The 19445-nt window shown below is 36.5% G+C and overlaps 1 protein-coding gene across 43 annotated transcripts in view, besides 2 other annotated features; it reads left to right on the top strand.

Moving 5' to 3' along the window:
• The window catches only part of TPK1 (thiamin pyrophosphokinase 1), a 384497-nt gene that overhangs the window by 289160 nt on the left and 75892 nt on the right, over positions 1-19445 (top strand). For 3 of the 43 annotated variants that reach the window (NR_146936.2, NM_001350881.1, XM_017011969.2), the window contains one exon: positions 16109-16214. The exons of 39 other annotated variants lie outside the window; for them this stretch is intronic. Coding sequence is in view for 3 of the 4 variants with exons in the window: in NM_001350881.1 (NP_001337810.1) it covers positions 16109-16214 (106 nt within the window). In the remaining variant the exon portion in view is untranslated. Of the gene's footprint in view, positions 1-130; positions 8444-16108; positions 16215-19445 lie in introns of those variants that run through there. One more of the 43 variants, XM_011516040.3, reaches the window with a different exon arrangement.
• Positions 11863-12736: an enhancer, noted in NCBI's record as "OCT4-NANOG-H3K4me1 hESC enhancer chr7:144231635-144232508 (GRCh37/hg19 assembly coordinates)". NCBI's record gives its function as "activates a minimal SCP1, AML or CMV promoter by ChIP-STARR-seq in primed H9 embryonic stem cells {active_cell/tissue: H9 hESC(primed)}" and the evidence as "EXISTENCE:reporter gene assay evidence [ECO:0000049][PMID:30033119]".
• Positions 17848-17917: a silencer, noted in NCBI's record as "silent region_18730". NCBI's record gives its function as "represses an Ori minimal core promoter by ATAC-STARR-seq in GM12878 lymphoblastoid cells {active_cell/tissue: GM12878}" and the evidence as "EXISTENCE:reporter gene assay evidence [ECO:0000049][PMID:35858748]".

Below are 19445 nucleotides of genomic sequence, written 5' to 3'. Positions count from 1 at the left end.
AACACATCTCCTCCAGTGCACAGAAATATGTGACAGGCTTTGAAGCTGTTTAGCTGAAATTGACCTGAGCTCCCATTGGAAGCTTTTTTGAAAACATTCTGGCCCCAAACAACTGTTTTATTTTTTCTAGTTCTCATTATTTCCAAGGGCACCCAATCTAGACAGTGATGAACTTCCTGCTGGATCTAGGAGCGATCACACTTTTCAGGGCTGGCAGCAAGACAAAGGAGCACTGAGCAAAGAGGACCGTTGGCACTAGGAGCAGGTGCCCCAGCTTCCTTTATCTTATAGTAATAAAAAAGAGTCATATGTTAGACATGATTCTTCTGTTATCTTTAGAATGTCCTTTGATCCTATACTTCCCACAGTAGTATGCACATTGTATTAGTCCATGCTCACATTGCTGTAAAGAACTACCTGAGACTGGGTAATTTATGAAGAAAAGAGGTTTAACTGACTCACAGTTATGCAGGCTTACCAGGAAGCATGACCAGGAGGCCTCAGGAAACTTACAGTCATGGTGGGAGGTGAAAGGGAAGCAGGCACCTTCTTCACATGGCAGCAAGAGAGAATGAGAGCGATGGGGGACGTGCCACAGACTTTTAAACCATCAAATCTCATGAGAAGTCAGTCACTACCACGAGAACAGCAAGGGGGAAGCCCACTCCCATGATTCCGTCACCTCCCACCAGGTTCCTCCACCAACAATTGGGAATTACATACAATTCAACATGCAATTTGGGTGGGGACCTGGAGTCAAATCGTATCACACATCCTAATTCTGTGTAAGGCTTTCTCTGGTAAGGGGGCCTTCAGCATGATGAGGGCAGGGCTCTTAACCTTCCTGAGATAACTTTTGATCCGGCCTGCATGTAATATGCCATTACTTATTTATATAGTTACACATCACTTTGACTTTTGAAGTAATTATTTTTTCTAAACTTCATAAAAATAAAAAAAAAACTTCATGGCATATGCAAAGCAATAAAGTTGAAATACAAAGTGTTTCATCAATTACCTGTTGTAAAAGCGCTAATTCATGGGGTCTTCTGATAGGTAATATTGCCTCATTAAAAGTTAATAAAAATAAATGTGACATCATGTTGACTTGAAGAAAAGTGGGTAGATTTCATTCACAGAGAGGGTCCCTGCCTTCCTCAGTGCTGTTGTCTGTGAAAGAGCCCTGAGGTCAGGGTTATTTTGTCAGTCATGGCTACAAAGGGACAGGGTGAAGGTGGGCTTGCAGAAAGAGAAAGAATATGCAGACACTTAGTCAGGGGCAGCTCACTTCTTGGGTTAATGGGAGTAAGCAAGTTTTTGTGAAGAAACTTGTCAAGGTCCTCATGTGCGGCCCCGTGGCTTGATCTCTACCTATCTCCACCCACTCTAAGTACATGATGCCACAAGTTCTAAAAGTAGTTGGATTTATCTGTTACCAGTTCGCAATATTTCACATGCCATTCTAACGTTTAAAAAAAAAAAATTGTGTGACTGATACCTAGGTACCGATCACCCAGGAGTGAAACGTTTCAAATATTACTGAAGCTGCCTATGTTTACAGTCTTTTATTTCATAGCAATATGCTATGAATATTCTTTGACTTGTGTCTTGTACAAGAGTTTCTCTAGGATATATACAGTTGGCAGTAAAATAGCTGTGTCATAGATAATCACATCTTCACCTTTGTGAGATACACCATATTGCTCTACACAGTGATTGTACCCATGTGTATTCAGCCCAGGAATACATATTAAGTTCCCCTGCTCCATATCGTCAACAATTCTTGCTATTACCAAACTTAATCATTTTTGTCAGCCTGATGAGTGTAAATGATATGTTTTTGTGGTCTCTGCTGATAAGGATAAGCATCTTTTTGTAGTTATTATTCATGCTGGTTTCTTCTTCTGTGAATTGCTACTTTCTTTTGCCTATTTTTCCATTGGGATGTTAATTCTTAGAAGTTCTGAAGCCTCTTTTTCCTGGCCGTACTTTGGCTTTTCAATTTGTTTATGGTGTTTTTATATGAACAGAGTTTATTGAGTTAAATGCAGTCAAAATTTATCAGTTTAGTCATTTTCGTGTAAGTTATCTTTCTATTCCCCATGGTCATAAAGATACTCTCATTTAAGTTTCGTGTTTAGGTCTTTTCTTTCACCTGAAGTTGATTTTTGTATATGATGTAAGGATCTAGTTTTTTAAAGATAATGAATTGCCCTAACATCATTTATTAATCCTTTCTCCAGTGATTTGCAGTGTAGCACAGGTGTTCATATGTATGGGTATGTTTCTTGGATCTGTTTTGTTCCATTGGCTTACATACCTGTTCCTGTGCTGGAGCCACGCTGCCTTCATTACCATAGCTTTATAATAAATATTGAAATGTGCTAAGTTGAGTCCTCAGACCTTGTTCTTCAAAATTGTCACTCTATTCCTGGCATTTTGCTCATTTGTTTGTTCGAGACGGAGTGTCTCACTGTCGCCTGGGCTGGAGTGCAATGGTGCAATTTCGGCTCACTGCAACCTCCGCCTCCTGGGTTCAAGTGATTCTCCTGCCTCGGCCTCCTGAGTAACTGGGATTACAGACGACTGCCACCACACCCAGCTAATTTTTGTTTTGTTTTGTTTTGTTTGCATTCTTAGTAGAGACAGGGTTTCACCAGGTTGGCCAGGCTTGTCTCCAACTCCTGACTTTGTGATTCACCCACCTCGGCCTCCCAAAGTGCTGGGATTACAGGCATGAGTCACCACACCGGCCTGCTCTTCTTTATAAATTTTAGAAGTAACTTGACAAGTGCCTCTCTCACACAATTCTATTATAATTTTTGCTGCAATTACATTTAATGTCTAGATTAATTTGGGAAGACTCAAAAAATTGGGGAAGGAAATTTCTACATGAAATTGAGTCTTCCCATCCACAAATTTAGTTTAGCTTTCTATTTACTTAGAACTTTTAAATTCCTTTCAATAATTTTATAACTTTCTCTATAAACATCCTATGCATTTTTATAAGGTTTATTTCTATAAACCCTATATTTTGTGTCCTAGTATAAATTATACTTTAAAAAATTACATTTTCTGTTGGTGATATATAGACATATAATTCATTTTTGTCTATTTTAATGTTAACATATTGATGAACATTAATTATATCTGAAAACGTGACTGTACACTCACTTGGTTTTCTATACACAATCGTATTTCTGTTAATAATCAAGTTTTCTTCTGCAGTCTGTAACAAATAGAATTAAGTTACTATAATGGACTGAAATGGTGGCTTTAAAAAAAAAGCCTTTTTGTTGGTTTCCTCATGTAGCAAAGTGCAGAGGTAAGTACCTACAGGGCAAGGTTTCTATTATTTCCTCAGCCTTTGCCTGAAAATCTAAGATGTCTTTTGCAACTCCAGCTGTATTGTGCCCAGTAGGCATCAGAAGAGAGGAAAGGGAAGGGAGCAGGAAGGATCTGTAACGGGAATCAGAGACATCAGGGATTCCCGGCATTCTCAGAAACCCTTCCTGTGTCTCATCTTTTGCCTCAGTGGCCAGAATTGTATCACATAGCCACCCTAGCTTCAAGGAAGGCTACGTGTGCAATTTTGAATCCAACTACATTGTCACTCCAAATAAAACTGAGGTTCCATCAGTAGGGAAGAAGAGAATGACTAGGAGTCTGCTCTTCTGTCAAAAAATGCCTTTGCTTCATTCATCATCTTGAACATTTTATCTATGTATATCTTAAAAAATTTATTTTAGTTTTCTTTCAGCCATATTCATATGGATTGCTGTTGTTTCTGTTGAAAAAATCTACAATCAATGAAATTAGTTCTGATTTGTTTATAATCTGTCACGTTTTCTAGACCTTAAGTTTTGCTTTGATATTCTAAAGTTTTACAACAATATGTTTGCATGTAACGTTTCTTTTGTTCTAGTTGCTTTTTATTCATTCTGATAATTGGTATAGTTCATCAATTCTGAAAATTCTTAGCCGTTTATCTTCTTCGATTGCTTCCCCTCCATTTTTTTCTATTCTTTTCTCCTTGAACTGTTAGTAAACATATTAGGCCTCATCATCCCTTTTCCTTGTTTATTCTTTGTGCATTCTATGTTTGTTTGTTTGTTTGTTTTCATCTTTCTTTTCACTGTTTCTGTCTTTGGCTGTTTCTAATCTGCCATTTAATGATTGTGTTTTGAATTTCATAGATTTTATTTTTCACTCTTTTTTATCTCAAAAAATTTAAGATCACGTCTTGTTTGTTGCCAGTATTTTAATTATATATTTACTTTTTTAAATATGTAAGCAGATTTTTAAAATATCAGAAATTGAGATGAATTATTTAATCTATTAGATTGTTAAAAATCATAATTTAATTGATAGGAGTTTTTTTAGATATTTAAAAATTGGGGCCTATTATAATACATGGTATCTTATATTTGGTGGAATACAATATGGTATTTGAGCATTCTAGTTTCTTCATCTCTTTTTTGACCTAATTCTGCTATTTTCCTTTTTTTTATTTTTTGAGAAGGAGTCTCAAATTTTCTGTTTCCAATTACTTTTAATGTTTCTTTTAGGTTCAGAGGTACATGTGCAGGTTTGCTATATAGGTATATTGCATGTCACAGGGGTTTTATATACAGATTATTTTAGCACCCAGGTAATAAGCATAGTATCCAATAGGTAATTTTTCAGTCCTTACCCTGCACCCTCAACTAGACATTGGCATCTGTTGTTCCCTTCTTTGTGTCTATGTGAACTCAACATTTCACTTCCACTTATAAGTGAGAACATGTAGTATTTGGTTTTCTGTTTTTGTGTTAGTTCACTTAGGATAATGGCCACCAGCTCCATCTATGTTGCTGCAAACGCATGATCTTGTTCTTTTTATGGCTGTGTGATATTCCATGGTGTATATGTACCACATTTTATTTATCCAGTCTACCGTTGATGAGGATTTCAGTTGATTCGGTGTCTTTGCTATTGTGGCTAGTGCTGTGATGGACATACATGTACATGTTCTTTATGGTAGAATGATTTCTATTTCTTTGGATATATACCCAATAATGGGATTGCTGGGTCAAATGGTAATTCTGCTTTGAGTTCTTTGAAAAATCGCTAAACTGCTCTCCACCATGGCTGAACTAATTTCCATTCCCACCAGCAGTATATGTGTTCCTTTTCTCTTCAGCCTCACCAGCATCTATTAATTTTTTGCCTTTTTGATAATACTGCTATTTTTAAATATTTCTTTTATTCTCACTCATGATAGACACTTTATCCTGTGTTTTATATATGTGGTTGTCTTTTTTTTTCCTGTGGAAATATGTAGAAGGTTAGGTTGAGCATGTTCTTTGACATGAGATTTTAAGGTGCTTCTGCCAGTGCCCTGAGGTATAACCAATCCTGGAATACTTAGCTACCTTGGTATAAGATTTTCCTGAAGACGCTTTCAGTGTTAATTAAAACCACAAGGAATTGAGGTGTCTTTTTTAGTTTTTGCCTCTGTGAAAGCCCAGGCTGATAGAGAGATGTTTCCTTGTTCCGAACCTTTTCTGGCAGACCAGTTATTTCCTAGTTGCTATGGTCTGAAGGTTTATGCCTCCACTCCCAATTTGTATGTTGAAACTTAATCATCAATGTGATATTATCAGGAGGAGGAGACATTGGGAGGTGAGTAGATCATGAACCCTCGTGAATGGGATTAATGCCCTTATAAAAGAGGCCTGAGAGAGACACTTGCCTCTTCCACCACTCAGTAAGAAGGTACCATCTATAAACCAGGCAATGGATCTGGAGTTCCAGATGCCAAATCCGTGGTACCTTGATCTTGCAGTTCTCCACCTCCAGAACTGTGAGCAATAAATTTGTGATGTTTGTAAGCTATCTAGTTTATGGTATTTTATTAGAGTAACCCAAACAGACTAAGACACAAGTCTACCCTTCTGTTAAAGACGTAGCAGTGAATTTATATAGAACCTCAGTCCTAACTCTACTTTATCGAGGCCCAACATGTTGACTCTTGATTGACATGTATCTGAAAAGAAAGGCATCTTAGTTAAGGAAAGAAGCGAACATTCTCTGTGCAGGTGCCCTGTTTTCCAGCTCCTTCAATTTTATACCACTGAAGAGTTTATTTTCTTGTGAGCTTAGCATGTTAGTTACAGAACATTTATAATAAGTTATGTATTATGTCTAAGAGTCTGGTATCAGGAGAATTTCAGGATATATGGGCTACCATATGGCCAGAATGGAAATCTTCCACATCTCCTAGTTGAGGTTGCTTGAGTAGGACAAGAGTAGCATCAGGGAACCCTCTGAAGGGGAAAAGTTAACAGCAAAGGCTCTGGCAAGGTTTTTCAGAGGCCACAATTATATTTTGAAGTGACTCTATTCAAACTTTAACTCATGGAAACATACAAATCATTATTGTAAACATTCCAACACTCATATTTTCACCTTTGGGAAATCTGAATTCCAGTCTTACACTGATTTTTGAAGTTCTAAATGGAGCCACTGCTCATCCTAATCATTAACCCTAGAATTCTGCCCCTTCTTGTATATTTTTCAGAACCCAGCACACTGGCTTCTGCCTCATGATAGCTTCATCCTCCCCATTCCCCTTGTCTCCCTACTCAGCCATGTTCCATACTCTACATATTCCCAGAACAAAGATTCTCTTCAATAATTTACTAAAACTACTCCAGTCTTTCAGTCTCCTGCCAGGAGATAGCTACTTAATCTGATTTATAAATTTGTGTTAATGGGTGTTAATAGCTCAAAGTTGGGTTTCCTTCCTAGATAATCCTGGTGAATTTAGCAGGGTGTATTTAGGTTGATATTCCATGTAATACCTATACAGTCAAGTGGCAGTATACTCTATGTATGGGTTTGAGGTATTTCCAGAAGTTTTTGACTTTTCACAAAGGATGGGAACAATAATCAGAATTGTAATATTAATGTTCATATGATATTTCACATTTTTAAAGAGTCTTTTAAATATTACAATAGGTCTGTGTGACAGGTTGGATTGTCTGTATTTTTCAGATATGGAAATAGTAATTAAAATCTCTAATTGTCCTAAATTTACATAATTATGGATTAATGCACTCAAAATTTGAAATCAAGTCTTCAATACTATTTATCTTTCTTTCCAATTAGTAAGTGAAGGACTTATATAAAATAAGTTGATGTTTAAAAAATTTAAATTTGGAATAAAGAGAATGTAAATTTGGGATAAAGAGAAGATAGGAGGAAGGTAACTACATGGGAAAGCAAAGGTGATATGAAAGAGAAGATAATGGCACAGAATGGAAAGTAATGGCAAGAAAAGTGAAATTCTGACGGACAGAACTTTTAACTTTTCTACACTTTTGCCTAAGGAAAATATTAAATGGAGTTGCCTTCCATTTGCCCAGGCCCCTTTATATAGCACTCATATTGAGATTGAAATTATGTATTCATTGTTCTTTCTTTTACGTTTCTTTCAAAGAAATATAGAAGTAAATTACAAGGAAATAACTTCTCAGCATTGACTAAAAGAGACTCAACTCTTTTAACCTAGGGGAAAGAGTTTTGAAAGAGAGAAATTATGAGAAAACAGTTTGAAAAGATTTTTCATCTCTATGAAAATAAAAAAGCTGTAATAAGCATATACAGGTACCATGGTTTTCTGCAGGAGTTTTCTATTAAAATTTTTAAGTGTCAGCCTAACAAGGGAACAGTTCATGCATCTGTAAAATTACACTTGCTAATAATGCATTTTCAGTGAGAAATGCTCTTAATTCTCACTCCACTGCAACTCACAAAGTGATTGTAGGCAGTTGTCATAGTATAGCTATAGCTATTCCCACTTAGGTTATAACCTCTTGTGAGCTAGTGCCACTAATGTGTGAGATGTTTTGTGTTTTTAGATGTCTTTGTTATTATATTAATTATTGATTTTGCAGACCAGTGCTTAAAAAAGACACTCTGAAACTGTGACATCAGTATTTCTTGTCTGAGTCAAGGACGATGTCTTTCATACTGTAAGTCTTCTATAATCAATAACTTACTCTGAATTGAATTAAATATGTTAAAACATTTTTCCAGAAAAAAAAAAGATGCATTACAGATCAAAGGTGACAATAAAATTGGCATTGGCAATCTTTTCCCCTCTGGTCCTTCCTAAAATAGATGCTAGCTGAGGTCTTCCACCCCCAAACCCTTTTCTCGAGTTAACGAGTTGGTGAAATGATTGCATTTTATCACATTTACGATGCCATTGATTGTAAGATGTGTATTATTTTATGTATACTAAGAAAAAATATACTGATTATAATTGCAGATATAGGAAAATATCCATGTTAGAACTGATGAAATTTGATAGATCAAATCGAATAGAAAATTAAGTTCCTTATAGCCTCTGTATATTAGACCTTTGTCAGATGCATAGTTTGCAAATATTTTCTCCCTTTCTGTAGGTTATTTACTCTCTTGACAGTTTCTTTTGCTCTGCAGAAGCTCTTTAGTTTAATTAGGTCCCATTTATCAATTTTTGGTTTTTTTGCAATTCCTTTTAGTGTCTTCGTCATGAAATCTTTGCTGGATTCTGTGTCCAGAATGGTATTTCTTAGGTTATCCCCAGGATTTTTATAGTTTTAGGTTTTACATTTAAGTCTATACTCCATCTTGAGTTGATGTTTGCATGTAGTGTAAGGAAGGGGTCCAGTTTCAATCTTCTACATATGGCTAGCCAGCTACCCCAGCACCATTTATTAAATAGGGAGTCTTTTCCCCATTGCTTGTTTTTGTCAGCTTTGCTGAAGATCAGATGATTATTGGTGTGTGGTATTACTTCTGGGCTCTCTGTTCTGTTCCTTTGGTCTATGTGTCTGTTTTTGTACCAGTACCATGCTGTTTTGGTTACTGTACCCTTGTAGCATAGCTTCAAGTCAGGCGATGTCTCCAGCTTTGTTCATTTTGCTTAAGAATGCCTTGGCTATTCAGGCTATTTGTTTGGTTCCATAAGAACTTTAAAATAGTGTTTTCTAATTCTGTGAAGAATATCATTGGTAGTCCAATAGGAATAGCATTGAATCTCTAAATTGCTTAGGACAGTATGGCCATTTTAACAATATTGATTCTTCCTATTTATGAGCATGCAATCTTTTTCCATTTGTTTCTGTCATCTCTGATTTCTTTGAGCAATGTTTTGCAATTGTCATTGTAGAGATCTTTTTATTTTTTATTTTATTATTATTGTACTTTAAGTTTTAGGGTACATGTGCACAATGTGCAGGTTAGTTACATATGTATACATGTGCCATGCTGGTGTGCTGCACCCATTAACTCGTCATTTAGCATTAGGTATATCTCCTAAAGCTATCCCTCCCCCCACCCCACAACAGTCCCCAGAGTGTGATGTTCCCCTTCCTGTGTCCATGTGTTCTCATTGCTCAATTCCCACCTGTGAGTGAGAATATGCGGTGTTTGGTTTTTTGTTCTTGAGATGGTTTACTGAGAATGATGATTTCCAATTTCATCCATGTCCCTACAAGGGACATGAACTCATCATTTTTTATGGCTGCATAGTATTCCATGGTGTATATGTGCCACATTTTCTTAATCCAGTCTATCATTGTTGGACATTTGGATTGGTTCCAAGTCTTTGCTATCGTGAATAGTGCCGCAATAAACATACGTGTGCATGTGTCTTTATAGTAGCATGATTTATAGTCCTTTGGGTATATACTCAGTAATGGGATGGCTGGGTCAAATGGTATTTCTAGTTCTAGATCCCTGAGGAATCGCCACACTGACTTCCACAATGGTTGAACTAGTTTACAGTCCCACCAACAGTGTAAAAGTGTTCCTATTTCTCCACATCCTCTCCAGCACCCGTTGTCTCCTGACTTTTTAATGATCACCATTCTAACTGGTGTGAGATGGTATCTCATTGTGGTTTTGATTTGCATTTCTCTGATAGCCAGTGATGGTGAGCATTTTTTCATGTGTTTTTTGGCTGCATAAATGTCTTCTTTTGAGAAGTGTCTGTTCATGTCCTTTGCCCACTTTTTGATGGGGTTGTTTGTTTTTTTCTTGTAAATTTGTTTGAGTTCATTGTAGATTCTGGATATTAGCCCTTTGTCAGATTAGAAGGTTGGGAAAATTTTCTCCCATTGTGTAGGTTGCCTGTTCACTCTGATGGTAGTTTCTTTTGCTGTGCAGAAGCTCTTTAGTTTAATTAGATCCCATTTGTCAATTTTGGCTTTTGTTGCCATTGCTTTTAGTGTTTTAGACATGAAGTCCTTGTCCATGCCTATGTCCTGAGTGGTAATGCCTAGGTTTTCTTCTAGGATTTTTATGGTTTTAGGTCTAACGTTTAAGTCTTTAATCCATCTCAAATTAATTTTTGTATAAGGTGTAAGGAAGGGATCCAGTTTCAGCTTTCTACATATGGCTAGCCAGTTTTCCCAGCACCATTTATTAAATAGGGAATCCTTTCCCCATTGCTTGTTTTTCTCAGGTTTGTCAAAGATCAGATGGTTGTAGATATGCAGCGTTATTTCTGAGGGCTCTGTTCTGTTCCATTGATCTATATCTCTGTTTTGGTACCAGTACCATGCTGTTTTGGTTACTGTAGCCTTGTAGTATAGTTTGAAGTCAGGTAGTGTGATGCCTCCAGCTTTGTTCTTTTGGCTTAGGATTGACTTGGCGATGTGGGCTCTTTTTTGGTTCCATATGAACTTTAAAGTAGTTTTTTCCAATTCTGTGAAGAAAGTCATTTGTAGCTTGATGGGGATGGCATTGGATCTATAAATTACCTTGGGCAGTATGGCCATTTTCACGATATTGATTCTTCCTACCCATGAGCATGGAATGTTCTTCCATTTCTTTGTATCCTCTTTTATTTCCTTGAGCAGTGGTTTGTAGTTCTCCTTGAAGAGGTCCTTCACGTCCCTTGTAAGTTGGATTCCTAGGTATTTTATTCTCTTTGAAGCAATTGTGAATGGTTAGCTGTATTCCAAGCAAAAAACAAACAACCTTGTTAAAAAGTAGACAAAGGACATGAACTGACACTTTTCGAGAGAAGATATACATGTGGCCAACAAGCATATTAAAAAAATGCTGAACACCACTAATCATTAGAGAAATGCAAATCAAAACCACAGTGAGATACCATCTCACACCAGTTGGAATGACTATTATTAAAAGGTCAAAAAATAAAAGATGCTGGCAGGGTCACAGAAAAAAGGGAATGCTTTATACTCTGCTGAGGAAGTGTAAATTAGTTCAGCCATTGTGGAAAGCAGTGTGGAAATTCCTCAGAGAATTTAAAACAGAATTACTATTTGACCCAGTAATCTTATTTTTGAATAAATACCCAAAATAATATAAATGTTTCTGTCATAAAGACACATGCATATGTTCATTGCAGCACTATTCACAATAGCAAAGACATGGAATCAACCTAAATGCCCATCAACAGTAGATTGGATAAAGAAAATGTGATAAATATACACCATGGAATACTATGCAGCCATAAAAAAGAACAAGATCATGTCTTTTGTGGGAACATGATGGATGGAGCTGGAGACTATTATCCTTAGCAAACTAACACAGGGACTGAAAACCAAATACCACATATTCTCACTTATAAGTGGGAGCTAAATGATGAGAACTTATGAACACAAAGAAGGAAACAATAGACACTGATGTCTACTTGAAGGGGGAGGGTGGGAAGTGGGAGAGGAGCAGAAAAGATAACTATTGTGTACTTGGCTTAGTACTTGAGTAATGAAATAATATGCAAAAGAAACCCCTATGACATGTGTTTATTTATATAACCTTCATTATGTACCCCTAAACCTAAAAGAAAAGTTTGTTTTTTTTTTTTAAAAAAAAAGAAAAGAAAATGTGATACATATAAACCATGGAGCACTATGCAGCCATTAAGAAGAATGAGATCATGTCCTTTGCATTAACATGGATGGAGCTGGAGGTCATTATCCAAAGCAAACTAATGTAGGAACAGAAAACCAAATAACGCACGAAGTATTCTCACTTATAAGTGGGAGCTAAACAATGAGAATACATGAACACAAAGAGTGGAACAGTAGACACTGGGGCCCACTTGAGGGTGGGATTAGGGAGAGGATCAGAAAAAATACCTATCAGGGGCCATGCTTATTACCCAGGTGATAAAATAATCTGTATACCAAACCTTCATAAAATGCAGTTTACCTATACAACAAACCTGACCATGTACCCCTGAACCTAAAATAAAAGTGAACAGTGAAAAATACGAAACAGAAAGATTCCTGAATGTCTTCTGATGGATTGTTAGGCCTGGTCTCTAAAAGATCCTTTCAGGGTTATCTGATTCTATAGGAAACTTAAGCCCTTCATTGTTTTTGATTATTTTACAACTCTGTTTAGTTAGAAGCTAACTTGTAAGGGGCTGATTGTAATGTAAATGATTACTGTTTGTATAAGTCAAATGAGCTTTTGTTCTGTTAAAATGCAGTGGATTCTCACCCTATAGAATTGGCCAGTTTCCTATTCATTAGCAAACTCATGTCAGCATTCCCAATTATCTGTAGATGTGTCTGTCCTTTGTAGAGTCTCCTTGAAGCAGTTTTTTTTTTTATTTACAGGTTTTCTCATTAATTAATGACTTAAATAAAATATCTGTCATGTTCATTTTATATTTGTATGAGCCATTATTTTACCTTTTAAAAACTATTTGTTAACAAACCAAATTGCAGTCACTCATGATATTTTAAGGATCACAAGCTGTTGCGGTCTTTTTAAAAAAGTGTATTTTGTTATTGCAAAATACCATTTAACTTCCAAGTAGAGGTCAGGGGTAGCCCTGGAAACAAAGGGCTGGTTATGTCACTTCCGTATTTGTGTACTGGGAAGAGGTCTCACAAAGAGCTATGCTATGCTATCTTTGTCTAAAAAGGATCATGGCCATGACTTTGAGCCAAGGTAAGCAAGAGGAATCAGACCGGTATGATCTTCTAGGAGGCAAGCATTGATTCTAGTTCTAGTAGACTAAGCTAGAACGAAATGATATGTTTTTTTTAAACATTTTTTGAGATATAATTCACATATCATACAATTCACTCATTGAACATGTATAGTCAATAGTATTTAGTAGGCCGGGCGCGGTGGCTCACGCCTGTAATCCCAGCACTTTGGGAGGCCGAGGCGGGCAGATCACGAGGTCAGGAGATCGAGACCACCCTGGCTAACCCAGTGAAACCCCGTCTCTACTAAAAATACAAAAAATTAGCCGGGCATGGTGGCGGGCGCCTGTAGTCCCAGCTACTCGGGAGGCTGGGGCAGGAGAATGGCCTGAACCCGGGAGGCAGAGCTTGCAGTGAGCCGAGATCATGCCACTGCACTCCAGCCTGGGCGACAGAGCAAGACTCTGTCTCAAAAAAAAAAAAAAAAAAAAATTGGATTTAGTGTATTAAAATATGTGTACAGTCATCACCAGACAAATTTAGAAAGTTCATCTTTTCAAAAAGAAACCATGTATCCTTTAGCTGTCACCCTCACATCCCCCCCATGCCTTTTTGCTCTAGCCCTAAGCAACTACTTCTCTATTTCCTATCTCTAGATATTCTAGTCTTTCATATGAATTGAATCATGTAATATAGGGATTTTTGTGACTGACTTCTTTCACTTAGCATAACATTTTAAGGTTCATCAATGTAGAAATTTGTCAGTATTTCATTCACTTACATGGCTGCATAATATTCCACCATATGGTTATACCACATTTTATCTATTTGTCAATTAATGGGCATTTGAATTGTTTCCACCTTTTGCCTATTGCAAGTAATGCTGCTATAGATACTCATGTACAAATTTCTGTGTAGACATGTCTTCATTTTTGAGGGGTATATACCTAGGAGTAGAGTTTCTGGGCATTATTGTATCTTTAATTGCTGAAGAACTTCCAGACTGTTTTCCAAAGGGACTACACCATTTTCTATTCCTGCCAACAGTGTATGAGAGTTCCAATTTTGCCATGTCCTTGCCAACACTTATTATTTTTATCTCACTTTTTGATTCTAGCCAATCTGGCATGTGTGAAGTGATATCTCATTGTGGTTTTGATTTGCATTTCCCTGATGAATAATGATGTGGAATGTATTTTCAAGTACTTCTTGGCCATTTGTATACCTTTCATGCAGATTCTTTAGCCATTTCTTAATTGAGCTATTTGTCTTTTAATCATTGAGTTGTTAGAGTTCTTTATGTATTCCAGATACAAGTCCCTTATCAGATATATGATCTGAAAATATTTTCTTCCATTTTGTGGGCTCTTTTTGCTTTCTTAATGGTGTTCTTTAAAGCAAAAAGAAAAACTACTGTTGACAAAGTCTTATTTTTTTCACTTGTTACTTATGCTTTTTGCATCATATCTAAGAATTGGTTGTCAAATCCAATGTCATGAAAACTTACATTTTCTTTTAAGAATGTACAGTTTTGTGCTTACATTTAGGTTCTGGATCTGTGTTGAATTAATTTTTATATTTAAGTAATTTTGTGTAAGTTATAGCTAGGATTCTAATAGAGATTGTGTTGATTCTGTAGAGTATTTTGGAGAGTATAACCATCTTAACAATGTTGTCTTCTAATCCATGAACATGGAATGCTTTTCATTTATTTAGATCTCATTTAATTTCTTTTCATGTTCTTTTTAAATAGTACAAGTTGTATACTTCTTTTGTTACATTATTTAGTATTGTTTTTATGCTGTAGTGAATGGAATTCATTTTATTTTGGGTTTAATTCCAAGTGTATAGAAATACAATTGATTTCTGCAATTTATCTTGTATCCTGCAACCTTGCTGAACTTATTCCTTAAGACTAATGGATTTTTAGCAGATTTCTTAGGAGTTTCTATATACAAGATCATGATTTCTGCAAATAGAAGTACTTTTACTTCTTTTCAAATCTGGATGCATTTTCTTCCTTTTTCTTGCCAAATTGTCCTCGCTAGAACCTCAGGTACAATATTGAATAAAAGTGTTGAGAGTGTACATCTTTGTTATGTTCCTGATCTTAGGAAGAAAGCATCTAGTTTTCTGTTCTTAAGAATGATGTTAACTGTGGGCTTTTCATAGATGTCCTTTATTAGATTAAGGGGGTTCTTTGCTATTTCCAGTTGTTGAGTGGTTATATCATGAAAGTGTGTTGGATTTTGTATCTTTCTGCATCTGTTGAAATGAACATTTGATTTTAAAACTTCTATTGATATGTTTTACATTAATTGAATTTCAGATATTAAATCAAACTTGCATCCCTGGAATAAATCCCACTTGGTCATAATGTATCATTACTGTTATATGTTGCTGGATTTGGTTTCTGACTATGTTGTTGAGGATGTTTGCATCCATATTCCTAACAGGTATTGTTCTGTGGCTTTCTCTTCATGTGATGTCTTTGTCTGGTTTTAGTATCAGGATAATACTGAGATTTGCTCTTCAAGTTGAGGTATTCAAGAGAGAAACTGGGGAAGTCAGCAAGGCAGCAGGAACAACCCAATTAAAGTAGAGTTGGCAGGCAAGATACAGAATGTGGGGTACGTGACATAGAGGGAATTTTACAGTGTAGAAAATTTTTTATGTTTGACAGTATATTTGAAGATAGATAAATAGATAGAGAGATAACAGACAGACTTAGAATGGGTGTTGTTTGATGATAGGTAGATGAAAAAAATTGACAATATTTGTTAAAATTTTCATGATGTAAGTTTTCAGATTTATCAGTTCCCTATTGCTGCTGTAACAAATTACCACAAACTTAGTGGCCTAAAACAACACAAAGTCATGATTTTACAGTTTGGAGGACAGTCAAAAATGAGTCTCATGAGACTAAAATACAAGCATTGGCAGAGCTTCATTCCTCCTGCAAGCTGCAAGAGGGAAGTTTTTTCTAACCCTTTCCAGCTTCTAAAGGCCACCCACACTTCTTGGCTCCTAACCCTTTCCTCCATCCTCAAGACTGGCAGCATAGCAGCTTCAAATCTCTCTCCCTCTTTTTCTGACCTCTCTTTCTGGTGTCACTTTTTTTTTTTTTTCTGACTCTGAGTCTTCTGCCTTCTTCTTTTAAGGAACTTGTGACTACACTAGGACCACCTGGATAGCCAAGGATAATCCCGTCCCAAGACTAATCAGATTAATCAGACTTAATCACATCTGTAAAGTTCCTCTTGCCATGTAAGTAGCATATTGGCAGGTTCCGGGGATTACAATTGAGGACTTTTTAGTGGTCCATTATTCAGCCTACTATATCAGATAGTAATCCAGTGATTTTCTAAAATAATACTTCTTGAATACAATTATATGCCATTGAATCTGTACAATTGAATCGATGTATAAAAACGGTATATAATTGTATTCTATTTGAAAAACTTAGTGTTGTCATTCATCTTGCCTCAGGTAACTTGCAGTTAAGAATCAAGACATAAACAAAACAAATTTTGCAAGTAGGATTTATTTGATGCCCTCAACAGGGAATGAGGTCTACCTTTTCCATTCAATGTAGTTACTGTTCTCCAAAATTGTAGTAAGTTTTGCCACGTGTGTATTTTGATGCTTCAGAACCAGGAAGGAAGTCAGCAGGTTTACTTAGGCTAGAGCTCACTCTTCACTCTGTGGCAGGTTTTATCCAGTCTCTTCTTAGACATATGTTTCCCAGCCTTTTTGCATGTCTTTTCTGTTTTTAGCCTTTTTAAGTTGTTCTTATACGAGAGACTGATACTTTATACCAATAACAGGCAGCAATCTGATGTGGAAATAAAATTCCCGAGACTCTAAAAACATGTGGCTGTAAAGGCAACAAGAAAGAGTCAAAACTTTCTCCCTCCTGTTTTTGTTGCCTTTCTGGCCGCATGTTATCAGAGTCTCAGGACTCTAAAGGTCCTTATTATCAATGACTTCTCTGAGCACACATACACCATTAAACTGCTGGTGGACTACTTACATGGCTATCACTCTTACTCCTCCCCCTTCCACACCCGCATATACCTACACTCTGATATAATACAAGTTTAGGTTTTTTATTACGTATGAGATTTGGTCAGTTGGGGATTATAGACCACAAAACTGCCACCTTTGATGAGTTCCGAGTATTAGCATTGAGGAATGATTGCACCAGCTGGCAATCGTGGGAAGCTCTCGGACCTAGCTTTTATGAAGAAGGCAAAGTGTGGGGAGGGGGTTGATTAGCAGGAGATATTATTTGTCTATAGAGAAAAATACACGGAAAAACAAGATTACTTTTTAGATTATGTCATTCTGAAGACTGTATAGTATTCTACTTGTAAGCAAATACTACATTTTTCAGGCATATAAGACTAATGACACACAGCCAACTACAAACTGGGATTTAATAATATATTTCATTAACTCAGCTCCAGTTCCATTTTCTATGTTGTAGGATTTGAACCAGACACAAATGATTTCTCTTAAGTCCTTGCCCTTTTGTGATTCTGCTGAGAGCACAAGGAACCCACAATAATTTACCATATGCCATAGTTCATCCTGTTTTGTTTTTTAAAAAACTCGCAACAACCTGACACATTTGTTGTGGTTGATTCTGGGCATTTAAATATGAAAACAATCAATGTGCATTTGTAGAGAATATGACAAGTGGGAATTTGTGTGCAGGCCAATTTTTCACTGACCTGCATTCAAGAACATTATTATAACCCAAGCTTGCCTCCCAAGTTGTTTAAATGAGTTGATTTCCCAGTATTTGTGTGGGCACGTTGAGTGATGAGAATGACTTCAGTGTAAGCCCGACTCCCTTTCTATTTCCCCTCCTCTGGGTTTCAGTTTTGTGCTGATTCAGATGTGAGCTCTGTGCATTCAACCATCCAGTTAATACACTGAGACAAGAAAGCAATAACTTTTGGTGATTACATGAGTTGTAGAGAAAGAATCAAGGGTGCAGGTGAATAAACTTTTGCTCTGGGAATGGCACACTGGATATAATTTTCTGCTGGTTCCAAATAACAATACTTTAAATCTTGAATAAGTCTTTCATGTATCTCCTACCTGTTGTATCTCTATACTCATTCTCATTCTGGTATAATATCAACCTTTTTTAAATGTGAAGTATTATCATCCCCATTTTATAGATGAGAAAACAAGATGAGACACAAGATGCCAGATGAATTGTCTAAGTTCATATTTTCTAACCTAGTCCTCTATATACATAAAATGGATTCATCATTAGTTATTTACATAACCATTTTTAAAATCGTTGGATGTGGTAGTAGTGAAATAGCCTATTTCCAAGTCATTTTTCTAAATGACAATGAAATTTTTCTGAAATTGGGCCGGCTCAAAGACAAACAAGATAGCAAACATCTTAGCAGTTAAAATCAGGTTTCAGGCACCATCCAAGAGATTCCTTTCCACTCCATGAACCACAAGTGCACAAGCTAGTAGATTTGTAGTGTGTAATTTAAGTGTAACTTAGGCTTACTGTGATATCTGATTTCTAGGGTAATTATAAATTGTTAGCATTCATCGTGGTTCTCCAAGAATTTGTGGTAAGGATTCGAGGGAAGAAAAAAGATATATTTAGCATCCACAAAGGGGAATAAATGGTTAAAACAGTGTTTTTGAGTGTCTAAAGATTAAAGGGTGAAAAAGAACAATGTTAATAGAGCTAGGAAGACAAGGCTGCAGGAGGTTTACACTGCATGCAGGGCTTTTTCAGCAGTGAGCCACCACTTTGTCCTCTAGATTGTTTGGAGATCAAACTGTAAAAAAGCTAAAAATATTTGGAGAACACTAGGTTTAAATTAAAAGGAGGGGAGATCAAACTGGAGAAATGCCCATTATGGAGACCAAAATAGAAGTATCTGCATCAGAGACCTTTTACATATACCCATGTATCCCAAATAGTAGTGAAGTATTTGCATAGCTATATGCATATATAGCTATACTTCAAGGAAAATCAAGGCATAGGTTACATGGAGAGCAGGTAAATTCCCAAGCTAAAGGGGTGCGTCAGGGAATTATACAGTATTTTCTTTCCATTCCAGAGAAAAGAGTAGGATTGAACTAGCAAGAGAGGGTAAAGATCCTCTGGCTTTGAGAATATTATAAGAGCCAAAAACAAGAACAAATCCATGCCTTTTTAATTTTTTTTGTTTTTTGACTTCTAGCTTTAGGGTTCATGGCAGGTTTGCTCTCTAGATAAATTACATGTTGGGGGGTTTGCTATACATATTATTTTGTCATCCAGGTAGTAAGTATGGTACCCGATAGGCAGTTTTTCAATCCTCACCCTCCTCCCACCCGCCTCCCACCCGCCTCCCACCCTCTGCCCTCAAGTAGGCCCGATGTCTCTGGTTCCCTTCTTTGTGTCCGTGTGTACTCAGTGTTAGCTCCCACTCAAATCAGTGCTTTAAACATCTTGACAAAAAAAAATCT

The sequence above is a fragment of the Homo sapiens genome, chromosome 7 (genome assembly GCF_000001405.40).
Source record: "Homo sapiens chromosome 7, GRCh38.p14 Primary Assembly".
Taxonomy (NCBI): domain Eukaryota; kingdom Metazoa; phylum Chordata; class Mammalia; order Primates; family Hominidae; genus Homo; species Homo sapiens.
This window is presented reverse-complemented; position numbering and strand designations above follow the sequence as displayed.